Genomic DNA, 20,939 nt, shown 5'->3' on the forward strand with positions numbered 1-20,939 from the left:
ACTACTGCTTATCACATCGTCAACATATGAGCACTCTCAAAAGTCTTACTTTAAAAAAAACAAAAACAAAAACAAAAACAAAAAATGGCCGGGCACGGTGGCTCACGCCTGTAATCCCAGCACTTTGGGAGGCAAAGACAGGCAGATCATAAGGTCAGGAGATTGAGACCACCCTGGCCAACATGGTGAAACCCCATCTCTACTAAAATAGAAAAAATAAAACTACCTGCGCATGGTGGCACGCACCTGTAGTCCCAGCTACTTGGGAGGCTGAGGCAAAGGAATCATTTGAACCCGGGAGGCAGAGCTTGCAGTGAGCCGAGATCGTGCCACTACACTCCAGCCTGGTGACAGAGCAAGACTCTGTCTCAAAAAAAAACTAAAGGCCGGGTGCAGTGGCTCACGCTGGTAATCCCAGCACTTTGGGAGGTCAAGGTGGGAGGATCATGAGGTCAGGAGTTCAAGACCAGCCTGGCCAATGTAGTGAAACCCCGTCTCTACTAAAAATACAAATATCAGCCAGGTGTGGTGGCGAGCGCCTGCAATCCCAGCTACTCAGGAGGCTGAGGCAGGAGAATCGCTCGAATCCGGGAGGCAGAGGTTGCAGTGAGCCGAGATTGCACCATTTCACTCCAGCCTGGGCGGCAGAGAGACTCCATCTCAAAAATAATAATAATAATAAAATAAATTTAAAAATTAAGAAAATAAGGCCGGGCACGGTGGCTCACGCCTGTAATCCCAGCACTTTGGGAGGGCGAGGCAGGCAGATCATGAGGTCAGGAGTTTGAGACCAGCCTGGGCAACATAGTGAAACCCCGTCTCTACTAAAAATACAAAAAATTAGCCGGGTGTGGTGGTGGGCGCCTGTAATCCCAGCTAGTTGGGAGGCTGAGGCAGGAGAACTACTTGAACCCCGGAGGCGGAGGTTGCAGTGAGCCGAGGTCGCGCCATTGCACTCCAGACCGGGCAACAGTGTGAGACTCTGACTCAAAAAAAAACAAAAAACAAAAAAACCCTTTAACTGCCTTTCTCCCTCTATCAATCTAATAGCCTGGACTCTTCACAGACAAACCTGTTGAAAAATTTATCTTCCTTGCCTTCATTTACTTTTTAACCCACTTTAATCTGGGTTCCACCTGCAACACACCACTGAAGCTATTCCTACTAAGATAGGAACTGCCACTCAAGGCCTTCTTGGCTCTAAAAGCCCATGAGCCTTTATCAGTTCACCTTACAATTTCTCAATACCATTCTAAAGTTTATGAGTTTTTTAACTTTAATTCCAGTGACTCTTTCTACTTTATCCCAATCCAAGTATTCTCCTCCTTCTTTACTTTTTTTTTTTTTTTTTTTGAGACAGACTCTGACTTTGTTGCCCAGGCTGGAGTATAGTGGTGCAATACTGGCTCACTGCAACCTCCACCTCCAGGTTCAAGCGATTCTCCTGCCTCAGCCTCCCAAGTAGCTGAGATTACAGGCCCCTGCTACCACACCCGGCTAATTTTTGTATTTTTAGTAGAGACAGGGTTTCGCCATGTTGGCCAGGCTGGTCTCGAACTCCTGACCTCAAGGGATCCACCCGCCTCGGCCTCCCAAAGTGCTGGAATTACAGGCGTGAGCCAACGTGCCCGGCCCCTTCTTCACTTCTTTAACCAGCTTAGATTTCATTGTGTATCATTTCAACAACACTCTTGCCTATACCCTTAACTCTTAAGATTTTCATCACAGCCATCTGGCAAAACCCCAATCCTGGATAAACCCAACGATCCATCAATAAGCACCACACTCCCAGGTCCTCCAGTGTTTACTTCCCATTCTATACATGCACTATCCAGACATTCCCATTCTCTTCAAATTCCAAAATATCCTATCCACCTGCCCTCCCCATACACACATTCTACTTCACCAACAACAAAAAAAAAGGTACCAGCTGGGCACGGTGGCTCACACCTGTAATCCCTGCACTTTGGGAGGCCAAGGCAGGTGGATCACTTGATGTCAGGAGTTGGGACACCAGCCTGGCCAAAATGGTGAAACCTCATCTCTACTAAAAATACAAAAATTAGCTGGGTGTGGTGATGCGCACCTGTAATCTCAGCTACACGGGAGACTGAGGCAGGAGAATCGCTTGAACCCAGGAGGTGGAGGCTGCAGCGAGCCAAGACTGCACCACTGCACTCCAGAGCCTGGGCAATAATAAGAGCGAAACTCCGTCTCGGGGTAGGGTGGGGAAGATACCATAAAATATCTGCACCCGATTCTAGACCTTACTGAGGATTCCATCTACTTCCACCTTACTGTAACTTTGCAAATACTTTTCCCACTGAACTAAATCCCCCCCATAAACAAGCAACACTTTCTAATGTATCCCATTGAAAAATACAAAAACATATAAAAAGGAAAAACTCCATCAATCCCACATGTCCCTCCATCAAACAATCTGCCTTACTTGCTGCAGCCAAACTAAAGTTGTCTAGACTCCCCTCTCCCATTTCTTCAGTTCTTCTAGCTCCTTAACACACACTGGTCCAATTTCTGCCCCATCACTCTTGGCAAAATCCATTATGACCTCCAGGCTGCTAAATCCAAGATACAGTTCAGGCCTCAATCTGCTCATCCTTTCAGCAGCTTTCACAGGGCTGCTGAGTAGGGTTGAGCAGTTTTGCCCTGCACACAGGTGCCCTGCAGAGGAATGAGGTGGGCTGAATGAAACTCCTTTTTTAAAAATTCTCGGCTGGCATAGTGGCTCACGCCTGTAATCCCAGCACTTTGGGAGGCTGAGGCAGACGGATCACTTGAGGTCAGGAGTTCAAGATCAGCCTGGCCAATATGGCGAAACCCCATATATTAAAAATACAAAAATTAGCTGGGCGTGGTGGCGGGCACCTGTAATCCCAGCTACTCAGGAGGCTGAGGCAGGAGAATCACTTGAACCCAGGAGGCGGAGGTTGCAGTGAGCCGAGACTGCGCCACTGCACTCCAGCCTGGGCAACAAGAGAGAAACTCCATCTCAAAAAAAAAAAATTGTTTATGCCAACTAATTGTACACCTAAATGCACCAAGTTCATGACTTTCTCCTTGCATTTATTTATTTATTTATTTTTTAATTAGGTCTCACTCTATGTTGCCCACGTTGTAGTGCAGTGTGTGATTACAGCTCACTGCAGCCTTGAACTCCTGGGCTCAAGAGATCCTCTGGTCTTAGCCTCCCCAGTAGCTAGAACTATAGGTATGGAGTGGCTCTCTGCCTTTATTTCTAACCCAAGCTACCTTACAACCTTAAAAAGAGACGCTGCTTCGCCAGGCACAGTGGCTCTCGCCTGTAATCCCAGCACTTTGGGAGGCCAAGGCGGGCGGATCATGAGGTCAGGAGTTCGAGACCAGCCTGACCAACATGGTGAAACCCTGCCTCTACTAAAAATACACAAAAACTTAGCCAGGCCTGGTGGTGTGGCGCCTGTAGTCCCAGCTACTCAGGAGGCTGAGGCAGGAGAATCATTTGAACCTGGGAGACAGAGGTTGTAGTGAGCCGGAGGTTGTAGTGAGCCGAGATCACGCCGCTGCATTCCCACCTGGGCGACAGAACGAGACTCAAAAAAAAAAAAAAAAAAAAAAGAGAGAGACCCTACTTCAGCTCTCAATTGCATCGCTTATCTTCCCCTTTTGTCAGTTAAGTCCTGGAAGTACCCTAGAAACCTATCATTTGGCCTGGGAAATTGCCAAGATTGAAAGGAAATGTCTTACTCTATGACCTCTTTAACAGATGAAGGACAAAAAAGGCTGAAAATGTACAAAGATATGCATCCCTCCCCCACCAGTTAAATGCCAAACATAGGCCAGCCACAGCTGATCACACCTGTAATCCCAGCTGTTTGGGAGTCCGAGGCAGGCAGATTACCTGAGTTCAGGAGTTCGAGATCAGCCTGGCCAACATGGTGAAACCCAGTCTCTACTAAAAATACAAAAAAATTAGGCAGGCGTGGTGGTGCACATCTATAATCCCAGCTACTCGGGAGGCTGAGGCAGGAGAATCGCTTACCCAGAGGTGGAGGTTGCAGTGAGCCGACAGCTCGCCACTGCACTCTGGCCTGGAGAACAGAGTGAGACTCAGTCTCCAAAAAAAAAAAAAAGGCCAAACATAGCCCATTCCAACCAAGATTAAGAATCACTAAGAGTTACATTGCACCACTGCACACCAGCCTAGGTGACAGAGCGAGACTCCGTCTCAAAAAAAAAAAAAAAGAGTTAGTTACACACTGCAGAAATCTAAACAATCTCAAAAGTAGACTGGGACTTTATAATCAAGGTAAAGGTGAAGTGATGTTTACCAATATAAGAAATGAATAGGCCAGGCGCGGTGGCTCACGCCTGTAATCCCAGCACTTTGGGAGGCCGAGGCAGGAGGATCACAAGGTCAGGAGATCAAGACCACCCTGGCTAACACAGTGAAACCCCGTCTCTACTAAAACTACAAAAAAATTAGCCGGGCGTGGTGGCAGGCGCCTGAAGTCCCAGCTACTCGGGAGGCTGAGGCAGGAGAATGGCATGAGCGCGGGAGGTGGAGCATGCAGTGAGCTGAGATTGCGCCACTGCACTCCAACCTGGGTGACACAGCGAGACCCCGCCTCAAAAAAAAAAAAAAAAAAGAAATGTATGCAACCATTTTTTTCAACTCCTGAAAATAGTCAGATAATAACTGTAGTTATTCTGATAAAGTTCCTTTAGCCAACAGGTTGAAGCACATTCCCAGGGAATAACATGTTTATAAGATTTTCTAACAATTGCATATGTTAAATCTTCTCTTTAAAAATAATCCTGGCCAGGTGCGGTGGCTCATACCTGTAATCCCAGCACTTTAGGAGGCCGAGGCAGGTGGATCACTTGAGGTCAAGAGTTCAAGATCAGCCAGACCAACATGGAGAAACCCTGTCTCTACTAAAACTACAAAATTAGCCAGGTGTGGTGGTGCATGCCTGTAATCCCAGCTACTCGGGAGGCTGAGGCAGGAGAATCACTTGAACCTGGGAGGCGGAGGTTGTGGTGAGCCGAGATGGCGCCATTGCACTCCAGCCTGGGCAACAAGAGCAAAACTTCATCTAAAAAACAGGAAAAAATAAAATAAAATAAATAAAAATAAAAATAATCCTAGGCCAAGCTGGCTACAGTAGCTCACACCTGTAATCCCAGCTACTCAGGAGGCTGAAACAGGAGGATCACTTGAGCCCAGGAGTTTGAGACCAGCCTGGGCAACACAGTCAGACTGTGTCTCTAAAGAAAAAAATCGTCATCATCCTAGGCCAGTCCAGACAACATAGCAAGACCTCCAACTCTAAAAGAAAATGAAATAAAAAATTTTAAAAGTCAATTTAATTAGAGGTCTCAAGTAATTCCAGAAGATACAGTCTCACAAATCAAATACTGAGAAAGGAAGACACCTTTCAAGATAATCACACTATTATTTTAACTGTAGGAAAATGTATTAAATGAAGACAGCTTTTGCTAGCTGCTGAAACATACTAGTAAGAACAGGAAACGATGCTCCCACCATGCTCAGCAGTAGCCAGAAATTTACTGAGGTCTTTGTATTTAGCCTTAAGTATAAGACACCTAGGAAACTTCAAAATCATCACTTAAGCCACTTTAAACCCACAGTCTATACAAACCCTTTTTCTTTTGTTACATTTTATACTAAACACACTTTAATCAGACTGACATAAGTGATTTAAAAGTAACTTTTATAATTCCCTTTTACAAGAAAAAAAGAAACAATGTTTCCAGATACTAAGTTCCTTAAGAGACAGCAATCATTTATTATAGATTTACAGTACTACAATTTCAAATAGTACCAGAATCTTTTTTTTTTTTTCTTTGAGACAGTGGCACAATCACAGCTCACGGTAGCCTCGACCTCCTGGGCTAAAGCAATCCTCCCACCTCAGCCTCCCAAGTAGGTGGGACTAGAAACTCATGACACCATGTCCAGCTTTTTTTTTTTTTTTTTTGAGACAGAGTCTTGCTCTGTCACCCAGGCTGGAGTGCAGTGGTGTGATCTTGGCTCACTGCAACCTCTGCCTCCAGGGTTCAAGCAATTCTCCTGCCTCAGCCTCCCAAATAGCTGGGATTACAGGCATGCACCACCATGCCCAGCTAATTTTTATATTTTTAGTAGAGATGGAGTTTCACCAGGTTGGTCAGGCTGGTCTCGAATTCCTGATCTCGGTGATCTGACAGCCTCGGCCTCCCAAAGTGCTGGGATTACAGGTGTAAGCCACCATGCCCAGCCAATTTTTTTATTTTTTGTAGAAACGAGGTCTCACTATGTTACCCAGGCTGGTCTCCAACTCCTGGGCTCAGGTGATCCACCCACCTCCCTGCCTTGGTCTCCCAAAGCACCACCATGCCTGGCCCAAAATCTTGTAATTGCTTAATACTGTATATACATTCTTATAATGATATGATATTTCCCATATTTGTGTAGAAGATGCATGTGGTTCTTCTCCACCCCCTCAAGTACTTAAAACTATCACATTGGCAGAGTACAACCTTTAAATGTTTCTGGCATCCTCCCTCCTCCCATTAAAAAAAAAATTAAAATAAAAATATGTATATACACGCCCATACACACTACAACAGAGGGAAAAAAGCAACTCATTGTTCAACTGGTGTTCTTATAAGAATCAGTTCTTAAATTCCAACTGTGTAGTAAAAGGTAAGCAAGCTATAAGCTACCTTTTAACCTATCCTTTCTCTATATACGTTCCATTTACATTGTACTTGCCCTCCAATCTATGCAAACAGTCACAAAGATTAGATTATGTTTGCTGGCTTATCATTTCAACTAGTAACAAATTCTTAAGGTGTGAATACAAGATATGGAGAAAAAATGATGATGCACAGCTATGCTGAAATTTCGTATTGTTCAACTTGAAATACGTTTACAGCCTAATGGGAGTACACTAGAAAATGTAGAAAGAGAGCAGGCACGGTGGCTCACACCTGTAATCCCAGCACTTTGGGAGACAGAGGTGAATGGATCACAAGGTCAGGAGTTCAAGACCAGCCTGGCCAACAAGGTGAAACCCCGCCTCTACTAAAAATACAAAAAAAAAAAATTACCTGGGTGTGGTGGCACATGCCTGTAATCCCATCTACTCAGGAGGCTGAGGCAGGATAATCCAGGTGGCGGAGGTTGCAGTGAGCTGAGATCGCACCATTGCACTCCAGCCTGGGGGACAGAGCGAGACTCCGTCTCAAAAAAAAAAAAAAAGAAAAGAAAAAAAAGAAAATGTAGAAAGAGAGCCACTCCACTGCAGAGCAATTAATTCTATCTCCACTAATATTTTTCTAAATATTCACTGAAACAGTTTTAAAAATAATTTCCTGAACTTTAACCCTCCCAACATCTTCAAAAGGCAAAAATTACCCCCTCAGAGGGACACAGCTGGTAGTGCCAATACAAAAGATCTTTGTCTTCCCATTCTTAGTCCATAGCTTTTTTCATGACACCAGCCTCTCTTAAGATAAATATCTGTGAAGGATCAACTTTTTAAAATACACACATTCTAGCTGGGCACGGTGGCTCACATCTGTAATCCCAGAACTTTGGGAGGCTGAGGCGGAGGTATCACCTGAGGTCAGGAGTTTGAGACCAGCCTGGCCAACACGGTGAAACCCGTCTCTACTAAAAATACAAAAATTAGCCAGGCATAGTGGCATGCACCTGTAATCCCAGCTACATGGGAGGCTGAGGCAGGAGAATCGCCTGAACCCGGGAGGTGGAGATTGCAGTGAGCCAAGATGGTGCCAACTGCACTCCAGGCTGGGCAACAGAGCAAGATGCCGTCTCAAAAAAAAAAAATATATATATTCTTAAAAATAAAGACACTTAGAGAGGAATCTAAAACACACTGGTTCTATTTTTAACTTCACCAATGCTAAGACAGCGGGTGTTTTTTTTTTTTTTTTTTTGAAAAAGAAAAGGGAACAAATTTCACATAGGAGAATAGTTTTTGAAATCTTTGCACAACAGGGTGGCCATAGTAAATAATGATTATTTATTTGCAAAGAGAAGACAGAGATAACAATAGCAATAATAATAATGTATTTCAAACAATTAAGAGTAAATTTCAAATGCCTCACCACAAAATATAAGTAAGCAAAGTAAGGCGATAGTATGTTAATTAGTATGATTTAATCATACTACATTACACACATATATATAAACATTACGTTGTACCCTATGTGTACAATTATGATTTCTGAATTAATATTAGAGTGGGGAGAACAATAATGATTAATTTTTACTTCTTCAGTAAGATTACAATGAAAATGTAGAGAGCACTAGCATTATAGTAACTATACGATAGGCCACTTTAAATAAATGGCATCTTTTACAAAATTTTTAGTCAATAAGTTGATTACGACATACTTACGAACTATTTGCTATTAAGTGTAAGTTAATTTATAATTTTAGTATTTTCAAAAAAGGAACATATTAAAATCCTATCAATATTTCAAATAATGACAAAATTAATCATTTTTAATAGAATCCTTACTCAGGTCCTCCAAAAACAATATAAACTATGACTTAAGGTAAATTCCTTTAAATCTGACTAATGAATAAATGTTAAATCTCAAATTTCATAGTCCCAGTGCTGGAAAATCTATATTTTTATTTTTCTTCACGTTTATACAAAGAATGTACAGACAGGCAAGAAATGTAATCAACCTTTTTAGGAAAGAATCCCAGGATTTGTTTTCTTTTCAATTAAATATATATGAATTCTGGGGGATACTGGTGATCATCTCTGGATCTTTTTACTCATCTAATGAGAAAAGAGTCTCATTATACAAAGAGGATAGTCAAAAAGCCTAATGATTTCCTCACATAAGTAGGTTTTTCTGTCTGGCAAATCTGAAGAAGTCAACATAGAATCTGTCATTAATGCATTGAATCTGAACTTCCACTATTCAAATCAAATTAGGACCTGGAAATAAAGTGTTAACACTTCAGACAAGAAATTCCAGGGTTTGTATCATCAGGAATATAAACCAGGGACACTCTCAAGAGGCTGAAGAGCAAGAGTCATGCACTGCTTCAGAGAATTAAATACTCCAAGATGAAAGTTAAAATTTCAAACACACATATCACACATACACATCTTTTAACATCAGGTTGAAATGCTAAAGGGAACAGAGTAAAGGTATGTTTTTAATTAATAAATTTAAATGAGAGAAAACTTTAAATTCAAAGAGCTTCAGTAAAAAAAAAAAAGAAAATATTAGCAATGTTATCAAATGTGGACGAAAAGCTAATATATGTCACTATGTAATCCAAGACATATTCATTAGTGGCGCCTTTTTTCTGGGCTATTAATATATTAGATGCCATCCAAAAACAAATATCTAGTAAATATTAAGTTTAACGACTTCTTAAAAACCTGTAGGTTCCCAAAGACATATACATGTATGTGCAGTGAGGCCACTGCTAAGCCTCTAATAATATTCTTGTAGACTACTAAAGTTCTCTATGATGATAAAAAGGGTAATAAAAAAAAAATCTAGTGTCTCCCCTTAATAAACAAAGAACGAGCATAACTTAGGAAGTTCGGTAACAAAAACAATCTATAATTCTGGTACCAGAAATCCCTCTGAGGCTGGGCGAGGTGGCTTACACCTGTAATCCCAGCACTTTGGGAAGCCAAGGCAGGGGGGATCACCTGAGGTCCGAAGATGAAGAACATCCTGGCTAACAGGGTGAAACCCTGTCTCTACTAAAAATACAAAAAATTAGCCAGGCGAGTGGCACATGCCTGTAATCCCACCTACTTAGGAGGCTGAGGCAGGAGAATCACTTGAACCCAGGAGGTAGAGGTTGCGTGAGCCTAGATCGTGCCCTTGCACTCCAGCCTGGGCAAAAAGAGCAAAACTCCATCTCAAAAAAAAAAAAAAAGCAACAAGTCCCTCTGAAAAAAGTTTTAAATAATAAACAAAAGTCTATAACAGGTTTTTAAATAACTATAAAGTCCTACACATATTACATGAATACCAACATAATAATATGAATATGAATATCAACAGGGTATCCAATTCCTTTTTTGAAAAGGTCTGAAAATTAATATGAAAGAAGTAATTCTGTATGTTCAGAAATCTGTTGATTCTAGGCCAGGTATGATGGCTCACACCTGTGTTATCCCAGCACTTTGGGATTTACAAAATGGGATTTCCTCCTCACCTAAGGTCAGGAGTTCAAGACCAGCCTGGCCAAGATGGTGAAACCCCATCTCTACTAAAAACTACAAAAATTAGCCAGGCGTGGTGGCAGTCGCCTGTAATCCCAGCTACTCAGGAGGCTGAGGTAGGAGAATCACTTGAACCCGGGCGGCAGAGTTTGCAGTGAGCCAAGATCTCACCACTGCACTCCAGCCTGGGTGACAAATAAAATAAAATAAAGAAATCTGTTGATTCTGGAATATTTGCGTTTCATTCCCCAATCAGCAGGTATCCAATTGGCAAGAAGTGTGTTTCCCCAGGCATTCTAATGGGATGCCAGAAGGCTCAACCCAGTGCTTAAATTTTTAGTGATTACATTGCTTAAATAATGTAGACAGATACAATAGATTCAAGATAAATCAATATGTAAAAAGACTTTAAATATGTGCACAAGGTATTTTTCAAGATGGATAAAACATATGAATCTTAAATTACCATCTTTTTTTTTTTTTCCCTGAGACGGAGGTTTTTTTCCTCTTGTTGCCCAGGATGGAGTGCAACAACAGCATCATCTCCACTCACTGCAACCTCTGCCTCCCAAGTTCAAGCAATTCTCCTGCCTCAGCCTCCTGAATAGCTGGGACTACAGGCGTGTGCCACCATGCCCAGCTAATTTTTGTATATTTTTTAGTCGAGATGGGGTTTCACCATGTTGGCCAGGATGGTCTTGATCCCTTGACCTCATGAGCCGCCCACCTCGGCCTCCCAAAGTGCTGAGATTACAGGTATGAGCCACTGCGCGTGGCCAAATTACCGTATTCTTTCTTCTGTAAAAAGATCTGGCCACTCCAGTCCATTACGATACTGTCCTTTTGAGCCTGCTCAATCAGTTTGTTTAAGCCCTGCCTCAGGCTAACAGGGCTGCCATAAGAGGAATGCTTTCCCCAAAAACACATCCTACAAGAACAGTGTTGTAATCTCTAGAGTTAACACTTAATATAAAAACACAAACTTGCAGGATCTCGTTTTCATGAATTTACTTGAGGAAAGACACAAATATAGAGTGGATGCTATTTATTGATGCACTTAGTAGGAAAGAAGGGGATAGCAAAAGTAACAATTTTACCAGATCCATGCACATATGCAGATTGTATTTTACTAGAGATGGCACACATAAAAATTCCAGATAGTGGTAAGGATATGAAAAAAAGTGGCAGGAATGGGTGTGATAGTGAAAAAGTCACTGCATATCTGTACCTTGACTGAGGTCATGGTTACACAGGTGTATACATTTGTCAAAATTTACTGAATTTAAGACCTATACAGGCCGGGCGTGGTGGCTCACGCCTGTAATCCCAGCACTTTGGGAGGCTGAGGCGGATGGGTCACCTGAGGTCAGGAGTTCCAGACCAGCCTGGCCAACATGGTGAAACCCCATCTCTACTAAAAGTACAAAAACTAGCCAGGCGTGGTGGCAGGCATCTGTAATCACAGCTACTCAGGGGGCTGAGGCAGGAGAATCTCTTGAACCCGGGAGGCGGAGGTTGCGGTGAGCCATGATCGCACCATTGCACTCCAGCCTGGGAGATAAGAGCGAGACTTCACCTCAAAAGAAAAAAAGAAAAAAAAAAAAACCACCACCACCTATACATACATAAATTTTATCTCAAAGAAGCACCACAATAGAATTCAAAAACGAAATCAATTTAAAAAGGAAAAGTACACTCGATTAATACAAGATGGAAAAGAATAACATTATAAAACCAAGTATCTCTGCATGAGCGAACTCCACAAGAATTTAGTAAGTTATACTCTACATTAAAAAAAAAACAAAAAACAAAAATACAGAATAAGGAAGCATTTCCTATACATATGAAACCACAAAATTTCTGTAATCTTTACTGTTAGGCCTCTATACAAGGGGAAGTATGTTTCATTTTATAGTTCCAAAAATAAAATGGGCTCTGAAAAACTTCAAGATAGTCAAAGACAGGTAACCAAAATGATGACAATGTGAAAAGATTAACAAACAGCTCCTCTAAATCATTAAGGGTGGTCCAATGAAAGGAGCCTCAGGGATTTGTTTTAGGTGATTAGGATAAGGAACAAGAGCCAGATAACAAAGGCAGAAAATCCTAAAGAATTTAACAATTCAATGTTCCCAAAAGACACCATGGACCACACTCCATTTTATATGACACTTAAATGACATTCCATACATGTGTCTAACATGAAGATTGAGCAGATAAAAAGTATCACTTTAGTAATCATCCTCAATCAACACCAGATAACAAATGAGGGGCTTTTGCTTATGGAAATTCTCACATATTGAGCTGAACACTTTTACCTTAATTAATTAATTAATTTATTTATTTTTTGAGACAGAGTTTCGCTCCTGCTGCCCAGGCTGGAGTGCAATGGCTCGATCTCGGCTCACCACAACCTCCGTCTCCCGGATTCAAGTGATTCTCCTGCCTCAGCCTCCCAAGTAGCTGGGATTACAGGCATATGCCACCACGCCCGGCTAATTTTTGTATTTTTAGTAGACACGGGGTTTCTCCACGTTGGTCAGGCTGGTCTCTCCCGACCTCAGGTGATCCACCCACCTTGGCCTCCCAAAGTGCTGGGATTACAGGTGTGAGCCACCATACACAGCCTTATCTTAATTTAAATTGTTAAATATAAACATAATACTCAGGTCCTTAGCAGCCCCTTCTCTATATTGTTCCAATTAACTGCCTCCCACTGCGATCTCTCTTGCACGTGTGTGCACGCACTCTAACACACACACTTTTTTTTTTTTTAGACGGAGTCTTGCTCTTGTTGCCCAGGCTGGAGTGCAACGGTGCAATCTCAGCTCACCACAACCTCGGCCTCCTAGGTTCCAGCAATTCTCCTGCCTCAGCCTCCCGAGTAGCTGGGAATACAGGCATGCACCACCACACTCGGCTAATTTTGTATTTTTAGTAGAGACGGGGTTTCTCCATGTTGGTCAGGCTAGTCTCGAACTCCCGACCTCAGGAGATCCACCCACCTCAGCCTCCCAAACTGCTGGGATTACAGGCATGAGCCACCATGGCCAGCCCACACACTTTTTCAAGAAGCAACTAGATTTAATCTTCCTAAATTGTGCCACTTTCCGGCAGGTAAAATTTCAATGATTCCCTAAAGTCACTCCAAATACACTTAAACTGGGCCAGGGTGGTGGCTCACGCCTGTAATCCCAGCACTTTGGGAGGCCGAGATGGGTGGATCACCTGAGGTCATGAGTTCAAGACAAGCCTGACCAACATGGTGAAACCCCGTCTCTAGTAAATACAAAAAATTAGCCAGGTGTGGTGGTGCGTGCCTGTAATCCCTAGAGCTACTTGGGAGGCTGAGGAAGGAGAACTGCTTGAACCCGGGAGGCGGAGGTTGCAGTGAGCCAAAATGGCACCATTGTGCTCCAGCCTGGGCAACAAGAGCAAAAACTCTGTCTCCAAAAACAAACAAACAAACAAACAAAAAAACACCTGAACTATGATTAAAGGTCTACAATAGGGTTCCCAACCCAGTGCTTCAGCTTCACCTCTTATTTATATTACTCCTCATAAGTACCCAATTCCTCTACACACTGACAATTTGCACCTGGCCTTATCCTAATTTTCTTCTATTTTGGGGGGGATTCTCCCCCAAATTCACAGTGAAAACTGTACAGACCAATTCCATCACCCCATTTTCCCTCCTCTGACCCTCCAAGTTTTTGTTTTTGTTTTTGAGACAGTCTCGCTCTGTCACCCAAATTGGAGTGCAATGGCATGATCTTGGCTCACTGCAACCTCCACCTCCTGGGTTCAAGCGATTCTCCTGCCTCAGCCTCCCAAGTAGCTGGGATTACAGGCACCCACCACTGCATCCAGCTAATTTTTGTATTTTTAGTAGAGATGGGGTTTCACCATGTTGGCCTGTAACCCCAGCACTTTGGGAGGTCAAGGCGGGCAGATCACCTGAGGTTAGGAGTTTAAGACCAGCCTGGCCAACCTGGCGAAACCCTGTCAATCATGCCACTGCACTCCAGCCTAAGTGACAGAGCAAGACTGTCTCAAAAAAAAAAGAAAGGAAGGAAGGAAGGAAGGTATACTGAGAATTACATCACAAAATCCACATGCTCTCCCCTTCACAAAGCCCTTTACTTTTCTCCCATAATAACTTATAGCCTCCTTGAAGACAGTGGTTTTACAAGTCATAAAAATCCTGGCCGTGGCCCAGTGCAGTAGCTTGTGCCTGTAATCCCAGCACTTTGGGAGGCCAAGACAGGCAGATCACTTGAGGTCAGAAGTTCGAGACCAGCCTGGTCGACATGGCGAAACCCCGTCTCTACTAAAAATACAAAAATTACCCAGGAGTAGTGGCACATGCCTGTAATCCCAGCTACTTGGGAGGCTGAGGCAGGAGAATCGCTTGAACCCAGGAGGCCGAGGTTGCAGTAAGCCAAGATTGCACCAGTGCATTTCAGCCTGGGCAATACAGTGAGACCCCATCTCAAAAAAAAAAAAAAATTATGGCCGGGCACGGTGGCTCACGCCTGTAATCCCAGCACTTTGGGAGGCCGAGGCGGGCGGATCACAAGGTCAGGAGATCGAGACCATCCTGGCTAACACGGTGAAACCCCATCTCTACTAAAAATACAAAAAATTAGCCAGGCGTGGTGGCGGGCACCTGCAATCCCAGCTACTCGGGAGGCTGAGGCAGGAGAATGGAGTGAACCCAGGAGGTGGAGCTGGCAGTGAGCCGAGATTGCACCACTGCACTCTAGCCTGGGCAACAGAGCAACACTCCATCTTAAAAAAAAAAAAAAAAAAAATTTATACACACACACACACACACACACACATCTCCCTAGAAGCATCAATATTTACTGAATTAGAGTATTTTATTACCTGTTATAAAAAACAAACAAAAAAACCTTCCATTATACTAATTTATAAAGGAATAAAAACAAAATGGGTTGGGGAGTCCAGGCACGGTGTCTCACTCCTGTAATCCCAGCACTTTGAGAAGCACAAGGTGGGAACTTGAGGTCAGGAGTTCGAGACCAGCCTGGCCAACATGGCGAAACCCGGTCTCTAATAAAAAATTAGCCAGGCCTGGTGACATGCACCTGTAGTCCCAGCTACTCGGGAGGCAGAGGCACGTGAATCACTTGAACCCAGGAGGTGGAGGTTGTACTGAGCCAAGATCGTGCCACTGCACTCCAGCCTGGGAGACAGAGTGAAACTATGTCTTTAAAAAAAAGGCGGGGTGCAGTGGCACACACCTGTAATCCCAGCACTTTGGGAGGCCGAGGCAGGTGGATCACCTAAGGTCAGGAGTTCATGACCAGCCTAACATGGTGAAACCCCGTCTCTACTAAATATAAAAAAATTAGCCGGGTGTGGTGGCACATGCCTGTAATCTGATCTACTTGGGAGGCTGAGACAGGAAAACAGCTTGTACCTGGGAGGCGGAGGATGCAGTGAGCCAAGATTGCACCATTGCGCTCCAGCCTGGACAACAAGAGCAAAACTCCGTCTCAAAAAAAAAAAAAAAAAAAGTTGGGGTGAGGGGAAGGTTCAACTTAAAGATACGATTACTAACTGTTTCATAAGGAATGACTTATTTCATACTGGAGTAGGAGTTTGACACCAGCATGGGCAACATGGGGAGGCCCCATCTCTACAAAAAAATAAAAATAAAAAATTAGCGTGCCAAGCATGGTGGGTCACACCTGTAATCCTTGCACTTTGGGAGGCCAAGGAGGAAGGATCACTTGAGCCTAGGTATTCAAGACCAGTCCAGGCAGCATGGCAAAACCCCGTCTCTACAGAAAACAACAAAAAAAAAGTAGCTGGGGGTGGTGACATGCACCTGTGGTCCCAGCTATTGGGAGGGTGAGGTAGGAGGACTTATTGAGCCTGGAAGATGGAGGCTGCAGTGAGCTGAGATGGTTCCACTGCACTCCAACCTGGGCACTGGAGTGAGACTCTGTTTCAGAAAAAGAGAGAGGAGGCCAGGCATGGTGGTTCATGCCTGGAATCCCAGCACTTTGGGAGGCCAAAGCGGGTGGATCACCTGAGGTCAGCAGTTCAAGACCAGCCTGGCCAACATGGTGAAATCCCATCTCCACTAAAAACAGAAAAATTAGCCGGGCATAGTGGCATGCACCTGTATTCCCAGCTACTTGGAAGGCTGAGACAGGAGAATCACTTGAACCAGGAGGTGGAGGTTGCAAGTGAGCTGAGATTGTGCCACTATACTCCAGCCTGGGCAACAAAGTAAAACTCTGTCTCAAAAAAAAAAAAAAAAAAGAGAGAGAGAGAGAGAGGAAAAATAAATAAATTAGTCAGGTGTGGTGGTATGCACCTGTGGTCCCAGCTACTCAGGAGGCTAAGGCGGGAGGATTCCCAGAGCCCAGGAAGTCAAGGCTGCAGTGAGCAGTGATTGCACCACTGCACTCCAGCCTGGGCAACAGAGCAAGAGCATATCTCAAAAAAGAGGAAAGAAAAGAAAAGAAAAACATAAAAACAAACGTTCCTTTAGTTTTAATTTTTATTTTTTAGTTTATTATGGCCGTTTTACTCTCCCCCAAGTAAAACAGCCATGCACAATTTGCTGAAATTTTCCTTAGTGTACTTTGAAATCTGTGGAACAGAACTGGCAATCGCTAAATTCTATTTGACTCTAGTTCCATTTAATATTAGACTGGTGTGAAAGTAACTGCGGTTTTTGCCAAAACCGCAATTACTTTTGCACCCACCTAATAAGTATAAAATATGTAACTTCACTTAATTTTATCCTTTATGTATTTCCCTATATTATGTACCTATGGACATCAAACTTAGTACAGACTGATAAAAGGCTGAACAGACAACTCTGGTTTCAAAAATCCAGCTTCTCACAACATCAGACATACTAGTATACAGCTTTTCTAATTTCACAACACATTTCCATTTTTTGGTCTTTCACAATAGAGAAGATGTGTATACTTTTGAATACTCTGATCTGTCTACAATCTACCAAAATTGGAAGGTGTTTTTATTATACAGTTTCATCCTTTTAGAAATATACAAAGATCCTAAGTTTGGGCACAGTAAGACACTCAATATAGATCTACTACTAAACAAGTAAGACCAAGTACATAATTAATGTCCTAACACCCCCAGTGGAGAAGTAAAATCTACTTGTTTTCTGTTGACTTGAATGCCTTCTCTTCTTTGTTGAATTAATCAATCTACTTGACTCCAATGTCAAATTAATCAATGTCACTTTAGAATATTAAAATGTACAATTATGAATTACACATTTAAAACACATCATTCTGATCTCTGTCTTGATTGATACTAGAAGATTATCTTCCAAACTAAGGTGGAAAAAATGACAGACTTTAGCTATTGGCAATGATAGGTCATTTTTTTAGGGAAGAGGAGTAAAGAGGGCAACCTCCATAGGTCAGATATCCCTTTGTTCTAAGAAGCCACCACCTCTGTTTCTTCATATGAAAAAAACCAGAGGCATCCAGTGGTTCCCAAAACCTTCTCAACTTTACGCTTGAGGAACCCACAGATTTCAAATAATACAACTGACCTAAGACCACTCATTTGTTTAACCATTCTTTTTTTAATTTTTTATTTTTTTTTTTGAGAAGGAGTCTTGCTCTGTTGCCCAGGCTGGAGTGCAGTGGTGTGATGTCGCTCACTACAACCTCCGCCTCTCAGGTTCAAGTGATTCTCCTGCCTCAGCCTCCCGAGTAACTGGGATTACAGGCATGCACCACCACATCCTGCTAATTTATTTATTTTTTTTTTTTTTTGGAGAGACGGGGGTTTCACCATGTCGGTTGGCTAGGCTGGTCTCGAACTCCTGACCTCAGGTGATCCACCAACCTCAGCCTCCCAAAGTGCTGGGATTACAGGCGTGAGCCACTGCCCCCAGCCTGCTTAACCATTCTTAAATGTCGGGTGCGGTGGCTCACACCTATAATCTCAACACTTTGGGAGGCTGAAGGTGGGCAGATTGCTTGAGTTCAGGGGTTCAAGACCAGCCTGGGCAACGTGGTGAAAACCCCATCTCTATAAAAAATACAAAAATGAGCCGGGCTGTTGGCAAGCGCCTGTAGCCCCAGCTACTTGTGGATGCTGAGGCAGGAGGCTTGAGCCTGGGAGGTCGAGACTGCAGTAAGCCAAGTATCTGTGCCGCTGCACTCCAGCCTGGGTGACCACAGCAAGACCCTGTCTCAAAAAAATTGACAGAAGAGTTGACTGAGAGCACAGTGAATGAAAAGGAAGACTATAAGCCAGTGCCATATAAATGCTTACTGTTGGAGGTATGCTTCTATGGAACACGGGTTTGCTCTCTTGCCATATGACATTCACGTATTCAGCCACCTGGAACACTTCCTGTCTGTATGTGTGAAGTATCATGTGTGGTCAAAATTGACTCAACAGTCATTTTCCACACCAACTGGCAAACTAACACTAAAAGAAATCAACAAGTATTGCTTTTTCAAAAGCCTAAATCGGCTGAGTGCGGTGACTTACACCTGTAATCCCAGCACTTTGGGAGGCCAAAGCAGGCGGATCACCTGAGTCAGGAGTCCAAGAACAGGCCGGCCAACATGGTGGAATCCCGTCTCTACTAAAAATACAAAAATTAGCTGGACGCCTGTAATCCCAGCTACTCAGGAGGCTGAGGCAGGAGAATTTTTCCCTGTAAGCGGGAGGCAGAGGCTGCAGTGAGTCGAGATTACACCACTGCACTCCAGCCTGGGAGACAGAGCAAGACTCCATCTCAGGAAGACAAAAAAAAAAGCCTACATCAAGGAAAACAGAACCAAAACACCAGGGACAAAATGGTACATAAGAGGCAAAAAAAATTTTCACCAAAATTATTCAGATGAACCATAATAAATGTGCCTGCATCTGAAGATGTTCTAAACCTTCATTTAAGCAAGAAGCAAGATCAAGATCCGTTCCGTCAGTTACCTGGAGTCTGTCATCTTTCTGAATAGGGGACAGAATCACCTCAAATTTAACTAATAAAAATTTATGACTTGGCAAACACCCCAGGTATTTTTATTGACTAACAAATCAGCTATGACAATCTTAGCAACAAATCAAGTTATGCTATGGGGTATGTCCACACTTTCCTGTTCCCTCTACAACAGGAGAAAATCAAATCTTTCCAACATCCTAACAAACTGTTACTCCCTGTAACCAAATGTATCACAGTATCGTCTACCAAGGCGTTACATCCTGAAACTTTCCTACAAAAAGCACAGCTTCAAAGAAACCTTGCAAGCTTTCTTGTAAGCTCCTCCCTTCCCACATCGCCCCTCCCCAGAGCCAAGAAATAAAGCACTTGAAAGAAACAACATGGATAATATTTATTAATAGCTTATGTACATATTCCATAACTACATAAGCCATTTGGCTTCATACCTGTCAGCAATGAAGTCAGCTGGCCCTAGCACGTGGCTGCGACTCTTCTCTATTTATTTAGAACTACAAACTACAATTTACACTTTACAAAAGCTGTAGGACTATTTGGGAAGGCACTTTATTCTTCTAAAAGGTTACTAAATTCTCTTAAATACTTATACTGATCACAATACTGAAAAATAATAGAAAATCCATTGTCATTCATTTACCACCTGATTTGTTAGATGCCAGATAATCAAATTTCACACATTTCAATAAAAAGGCAAAACTAAGCATGTCAATCATAGGAAGAAAAATACTTAACTAATTTTATTTAAAGCACTCACAAACTCTTAAGTGGTACAAGACAAGTCAACGCTGTTTATCGAACAATATTTTTTTTTTACGACTAAACATCTCAATTCTAGACTCAGGCACTAATTATTAAAGTCATCTAGTTATATACACCAATTCTCAACAGACACAGTTTTTTTTGGAAAGGCATATTAAACAGACTAAGATGTGTACTACCCATTAGCCAAAGATAATTTTATTGATTTTTCTAATGAGTCTTCAAATGTTACATTCTAACATCTTAGCAAATTATTTCCAAATACTGCTGGAATTACATGTAACTATCAGGAAACAAAAGGGCTTCTCAACAACTTGTGCGTTCTACATTATCTGGCCAGTTTCCGGACAATTATAATACAATTGTGCTCCAAAGTAGGAGAGTTCCATGAATCAATTGCCCCTAAAATATATTTCTGTATATTTAAGGAGTTCTAAGCATTGGGTTAAATTCCAAACAGACTCTGAATACAAGCATTTATTTAGTAAGAGAGGTTAGAATAAATCAATCCTAAATTAGGCACAGCTGCCCTCCCCCCATTGATCAAAAAGACAGGAAATTACATTTATTTAAAAAGTTAATGTTCCTAATATATTCAAATCTAACTAAGCCCCAAAACGGTCTGAGATCAAATCCTCCATAAAAGAGGAAATTCTCTAGACTTCTAAGTGGGTGCCCAAAGAGTTCACTCAAGTGTCCAGGTATGAATTACGATTCACCAGAGTAACCGGCCTTGCACTTAGGGAAAACTTCCATCGCCCAAGACCAGAGTGGGTCGATCCCATCAACAGTCACACAATCTCATCTCATGCTCCACTAATGAATGTTCTGCCTAAAGTCAGAGCAATGCCTTGGCTGGAGTTTTGTTTTGGTTTTTTCAATATTACCACGTGGGGGTCACAGAAAGGGAACAGAGGTTACAAGAGCTCTCACGTGGCGGC

At 42.7% G+C, this 20,939-nt stretch overlaps 1 pseudogene across 2 annotated transcripts in view; it reads right to left on the bottom strand.

Moving 5' to 3' along the window:
• Window positions 1-20,939, bottom strand: part of SMG1P2 (SMG1 pseudogene 2) — a 68,707-nt pseudogene that overhangs the window by 28,535 nt on the left and 19,233 nt on the right. The window lies entirely within an intron of this gene.

Source organism: Homo sapiens, chromosome 16 (assembly GCF_000001405.40).
Source record: "Homo sapiens chromosome 16, GRCh38.p14 Primary Assembly".
Classification (NCBI taxonomy): Eukaryota; Metazoa; Chordata; class Mammalia; order Primates; family Hominidae; genus Homo; species Homo sapiens.